General features: G+C 45.6%; 1 annotated feature.

Moving 5' to 3' along the window:
- Positions 5,314-6,024: an enhancer, noted in NCBI's record as "NANOG-H3K4me1 hESC enhancer chr12:116329236-116329946 (GRCh37/hg19 assembly coordinates)". NCBI's record gives its function as "activates a minimal SCP1, AML or CMV promoter by ChIP-STARR-seq in naive H9 embryonic stem cells {active_cell/tissue: H9 hESC(naive)}" and the evidence as "EXISTENCE:reporter gene assay evidence [ECO:0000049][PMID:30033119]".

The raw sequence follows: 6,562 nt of genomic DNA, 5'->3' as shown, positions 1-6,562 counted from the left end.
GTAGATTCAGGGTTCAGGCGTGCACCCACCTGGTCTCCAGACTCAGGGTTCAGGTGCACACCCACCTGGCCTCCAGACTCAGGGTTCAGGCGTGCACCCACCTGGCCTCCAGACTCAGGGTTCAGGTGTGCACCCACCTGGCCTCCAGACTCAGGGTTCAGGTGTGCATCTGCGGCTGAGACAGCACATTCATCCCATACCCCTTTGATTTGGTGCTCAGGCCAAAATATATGTCTTTATTCAACTGTGCTTGAGTTTATTGTTTTAAATGGGAAAGCTGGGTGAGATGCTGAGAAGGTAGAATGAAGGGCTAGTGGATTTGCCTGGTGTCTTTGTTTGTATGAAAATGCAATTTGATTATTTGAAGTCTCTAAGCAATTGCTGCTGCCCTTGGCTTCCTTTGGTTGTAATGAACACGGTTGACTTCACACCTAGCAACCTGGTTACCACACAGCTTGGCTTGGTGAAAGATGAACACAAATGCACTACATCCTTACCAACATTTGGTATTATCTGACTTTTTAATTTTAGCCCTTCTGGTGGGTAGATAGTAGCCACCAGAATTTGGTGGGTAGGAATTTGGTTTGAAGTGATATTTTCCTGGTAACCAATGATGTTGAGCATTCTTTTCCAGTGTTTACGGGCTGTTTAGAGAAACCCTTTTGCCACATGCCTGTTGACCCCAATGTCCATTAAAGTAGAATGAAAAATGGGATACCATGGTTCCATCATAGAATATTATACAGCAATGAAAAATGAATCAAATACAATTACTTGCAGTGACATGGATACATTTCACGCACACAACACACATATACACATTTTGTATATATTTTGAGGGAGAGAAGCAAGCTCAAAGAATATGTGCTCTATAGACATTATGGTCAAATGTATAAAATTCCAAAAGAAGCCAAACTAAATAAGGGTGTTAAAACTCAGGAGAGACAAAAGGTTACCTTTGGTTGGAGGTGGAATGGTGGAGTGTTTGGGGGTTGCAGTTGATGTTCTCTTTCTTGACCTGGGTGTTCGCTTTGTAATAATTTACTGATCTATATCTGTGTGACTTGTACATTTTTTCTGTATATGTGTTATACTTTACAATTTAAAAAGGGAGAGAGAGATGGCAGGAGAGAGCGAGAGAGAAAGACCCAGAATTGTCACCAAGGAGAGAGACCCCAGGGAGTGGGCCAGGCTGGATGGAGCTGGGAATTCACCCCATGACTGTCTTCTCTGGCCATCTCGCCATCTGCCCACTGATGTTTTGGGGACATATTTCACATTTTTTTTTCTCTCATGTTGTCCTAGGCTGGGTTTTCCAGGAAGCAGACAGACTCTGGGACAGAGTTTAGGTTGTAGGGTATTTATTGTGGAGTGCCATGGGGATCTATGCCTGTGGAAGTTCAGGGAAAGAAGAAGCAGGAATAGGCAGATGGGGAAGTCGAGTTGTGATGAGGGTTCAATGGCAGCCTCGGCCCAATGACCCCATGGGGAGCTCTGGAGCTGAAGTGGCTCCTTTGGGTTTGTCCCATGTGGGCTGGGAGGGCCAGGCCTCTATACTCCTACATGCATTGGTCGTTGGATGTGGGCCACTGTGTATTAAGCATGCCTTTTCATTCTCATATTTTCACACCTGGGACCCTTGCTGACTCTGGAGAGACTGCCTCTCCTAAAGCCAGTCAATTCCTTCATAGAGTAAATGAGTGGACTTCAAGTGCAGCTTTCATATGCAAACCAACCAGCCCAAAGCCCACAGGCCCCACCACCTCCTTTATTGGCTCTCACACTATGGGCCACTATCCACCTACCCTAATCACTACAGGGCCAGGTACCAGACAGCTAGGGACAGTGCTATGCCCCAGAACCTACTGAAGTTATTCTAATGAGCCAATTCCAAGCCTGCTTACCCTGCCTCACCTGTTTCTTCCTTCAGAAACCGCAATCAAGGATCTTGCCTACTTTTTCACCCATTCCCTCTGCCTCCTGAACATCCCTGGTGCTGCTCCCCTGTGGCCACTGCTGGCATGACAAGCTCCCACACTGGGGATCTGTGAGTAACAAAGTATCTTTTTAATACTCAATGGCCTCCTATCTTTTGACTTTGCCATACCTGAATAATAATAATAATGAGAACTATAAAGCCTACATTTAAAAACACACCCAAAGGGAGAGCATCAGGATAGTTAATGCATGCAGGGTTTAATACCTAGGTGATGGGTTGATGGGTGCAGCAAACCACCATGGCACACATTTACCTATGTAACAAACCTGCGTGTTCTGTATATGTATCCCAGAACTTAAAATTTTAAAAAGATAAAAAATGAAAACACACCCTGAGAAAGGGTATGGCTTTCTGCACCTTGAGCCATCCCTGGAGAGGCTGATAGCTGTATGCTGTCTGCTAACAGGGCATTCCTTGACGGGGATGGTCTGTGTCCATCACAGAGTCTTTACCTTAAGGTCTAAATAACCCTTCATTGCAGGGCTGGGATAGAGAGAGACAAGTGAATCACTGCATGCCCTGAGAGTGGGTGCCTTCTAAAATTTTGCTCCTTACATGCCTAACTTGCCTTGTCCTGGTCTCAGCCCTGCTTCCCTCTCTTTGCTCAGCAGCTAGGGTGATCCTGTGTCTCTCCTCTGTTCAAAACCCTCCCCTTGCTCCCTTCTCACTCAACATAAAAGCTAGAGACCTTCCTGTGCCCTCCAAGGTTCTACAGGATCTGGCTTCCATGACCTGTCTGTCCTTATCTCCTGCTGCCTCCCCCTTGCTCTGGTCCAACCACACTGGCCTTCTCACTATTTCTCCACAGGCATGTCCTACCCCAGGACACGTTCACTTCCTTTGCCCTCTACTGGCAATGTTCTTCCCCCACGTCTGCCCTTGGCTCATTCCTTTATGTCCTTCCATTCCAGTCTTTGCTTGGCCACCTGCTCTAAAATTCCAGTGCTTCTCCCATCCCTGGCACTTCCTATCCCGCTTCCCTGCTTTATATTTCTCTGTGTAATAATACAGTGCATTTGACTTGTTAATTCATTGAATGTCTATTCTCCCCACTTGAATGTAAGTTCCAGGGGGTAGAGTGGGGAAGAGGAGAATTTTTGTCTATTTCATTCATCGCTGAGTCCCCATAGCCCAAAACAGGGTCAAGTGCATAGTCTTAAAAAATCATCCACTGGATGACTGCAAAGGCATATGTTTTGCAGAAGGCGCTCAGGTTGGCTCCTCTGCAGCTGCCTTGGACCAACTCTGGTTCAACATCCAGGACGTGCAGTTTAAATAAAGATGCATTTTAATTTCGCCATCTCTGCCCACTCATATTCCTCTTTCATGTCTCTCCCTCCCCTCTTTCATATCCATTTTCTTTCTTTCTCCCACTCCTTCCCGCTTTTTGGTACTTGATGGAATCACATTAAACTAATAAACCTTTCATTACTTGATTGTACCCGTAATTACGCACACTGAGAGCTGGGTTCGTTTTGATTTTCTGCGGACTTTGGGTCGCTGATGCTTTTGAATACTTGTTTTTATTCCTCAGCTGCCACTTGACCTCCCCCTCGCCCCCGTTTTAAAAAGGATGAAAAGCCTAGAAAAACATCAGAAATATCCTTTTATTTTTCCCGCAATTTATTTGGAGGGTTTTGTTTTGATTTTCCTCTTAGAAACGGGGGGTGTTAAAAAAGAATCACATGTTGCTAAACTGGCCACCAGGTTGTAGATTCTGAGATGAGAAGGAGATAAAGTTTCCATTTACTGGGGGCCCTGAAAGAATTCACGTTAAAGGGTAAGTTTGGTGTAATCCCCTGAGCTGCCATTGAGGCTGGGGAAGGTTGAATTAGACCAGAGCCTCTCAACCTGGGCACTATTGACATTGGGCTGAAGACTTCCTTTAAAAAAAAAAACTGGGGGGAGACAAGGTCTCACTCTGTTACCCAGGCTGGAGTGCAGCAGCAGTGTGATCATGACGCACTGCAGCTTCCAAGTCCTGGGCTCAAGCACTTCTCCTGCCTCAGCCTCCCGAATAGCGGCATCACAGGAATGAGCCACTGCGCCAGGTGGGGCTGAATGATCCTTGTCGCGGGAGCTGTCCTGTACATTCTAGGATGTTTAGCAGCATCTCTGGCCTCCATTTCCTAGGTGCTAATAGCACCTGCCCTCATTTGGAACAATCAAGAATGTCCCTCAGGGGTACAATCACCCCCGGTTGAGAGCCACTGGATTAGATCAAAACTTGTGTGAGAGTCTTCATAGCAGCATTATTCATCATAGCTGCAAGGTGAGCGTAACCCAAATACCTGTCAACTGATGGTTGGGTCAACAAAGCGTTGTGTATCCATAGAGTGATATTATTCAGCCATAAAAATAAATGAAGTCCTGACCCATGCTACAACATGGATCACCCTTGAAAATATTATGCTAAATGCAAGAAGCCAGATGAGACAGGCTGTATATCATAGGATTCTATTTATATGAAATGTCCAGAACAGGTAAATCTATAGAGACAGAAAGCAGATTGGTGGTTGCCAGGGGCTGGGGGAGTGGGGGTGGAGGGGTGAGAAGCTCTGGAACTAGACAGTAGTGATGAGTGCACAACGTTGTGAATGCATTCAATGCCACCGAAATGCGCACTTTAAAATAGTTAAAATGCTAATTTTTATATGTATTTTACAATTAAAAAACCCCACAATTCACGTGAGCTGCTTTTGCTGTATGTACAAGAGTCATCCTCACACATCAGGACTCTCAAGGGTGAAAAAGATTTGGTCCTTTCTCTCCCCTTCTAGGGGAAGACGTCTCCTTCCATCCCCCACATTTTCCTTTCCCCCACTCCAGGGATAAGAATCACCAATTTGCATGAATCAGTTTCCAGTACATTGATGGGAGAAATCTTTCTTGGACATGGATATTTAAAGAGAATTACTTCAATCATCTTTTGTTATAACAGGATCACGTCTTTAACAACAACCATTTATTTGCTCACAATTTTGTGATTTGCACAGGGCTCAGCAGAGAACGTTCGTTTCTGTTCTGTGTGGTGTTGGCTGGGGCCACTCTTGTGGCTGCATTCAGCTGGAGGTGTGACTGAGGCTGGGATGTCCAAGGCCGCTTTCCTCACACATCTAATAGTTGGTTCTGGCTCTTGGCTGGGGCCTCAGTTCTTCATGTGGCCCCACTTCCTCCAGTGGTCTAGATCAGCTTCCTGACAGCATGGTGCCTGGGTTTCAATAGAAGTGGGAGCTGAAAATTTCTTAATACCCAGATTCTGGAATTTACTCAATGCCATTTCCACCATTTTCTATTAGTCAAAGCAAGTCACAAGGCAAGCCCAGATTCAAGCGGTGGGGTTATAGACTCTGTTTTGACAGAAGGAGCTTACAAACGACTGCAACTGTGATTTCCAGAGTCTTCCACAGGGATTAGGACATCAGTGGCTATGGTGTTTTTAGAAGAACCCAGACCCTGTGACCAGGGGTGGTGCTTAGACTTGGCTCTTAGAATTCTTTCTTTTCCTTCCTCTTTACACAGCTCTACACTCCTTTCTTTGGGTGCGGGGGGGGGGGGGAAGAATTCTCTGCTTTCTGCTTTTGTTTATCTTTGGCTCAACAAATACTTCTTGAGAACCAGCTTACATCAGTCACTGTTCTAAGACGCTGAGAATGCAACAGTGAGCAGGTCGGTTAGGGTCCCTGGCTTCAGAGCTTCTGTTTTTTAGCAGGGAGAGTCAAACCATTGACAAGTAAGCAAAAGATTTAGCAAGATAATTAGTGATAAAAGCTCTGCTGGAAATGGAACCAGCCACAGGGGAAGCTTGAGGCAAGCGGCCCTGGATAGAAGAACAAAGAGAGGGGGAGAGAGTGAAGGGGGTTAGATTAGGTGTCAGAGCAAAAGTTTGGATCTGGGCCTATAAATTGCCTAGGATTGGCTAAAATGCAGACTCTAATTCAGAGGGTCTAGGGGGAGGCCTGGGACTCTGCATTTCCAACAAATCCAGGTGATATTGATGCAGCTGGTCCCTGGACCTCATTTTCAGTAGCAAGAATCTGGATCGGGGTCAGCAAACCAGTGCTCCTCGGGTCAATCCAGCCTGCCACCTGTTTTTGAAAATAAAATTTTATTGGAACAACGCTCTGTTCATTCATTTATGAATTGTATTTGGCTGTTTTTGTGATGCAACAGCAGAGTTGAGTAGCTGCCACTGACACCGCGTGACCCACAGACCTGAAGACAGGTACTATCTGGCCCTTTACAGAAAACAGTTTGCCAATCCCTGGTCTAGATTACTAGGGTCTTGAAAGAGTTTGAATTTTTTTTCTAAATGTGATGGGAAGTCACTGGAAGGCTTGAGGCAGGGGATGACGTGGTCTAAATTAGATTTTAAGATGACCTCCCTGGCAGCTTTGTAGAAAATGAATGCAGGGGACCAACGTGAAAAGAAGGAGGCCATTTAGAAGCAGAGATTCTCCAGGAAATGTAGCCCAGCTACAGTCCCTTTATAGTGAATTCCACTCAAACCTCCTCTGTTTTATGTTTACCTCCCTTCCTCTCTAGAACATTCTACCTTTTAAG

The sequence above is a fragment of the Homo sapiens genome, chromosome 12 (assembly GCF_000001405.40).
Source record: "Homo sapiens chromosome 12, GRCh38.p14 Primary Assembly".
Lineage (NCBI taxonomy): Eukaryota > Metazoa > Chordata > Mammalia > Primates > Hominidae > Homo > Homo sapiens.
Note: the sequence above shows the minus strand (reverse complement) of the source record. Positions and strands in the feature narration are given on the sequence as shown.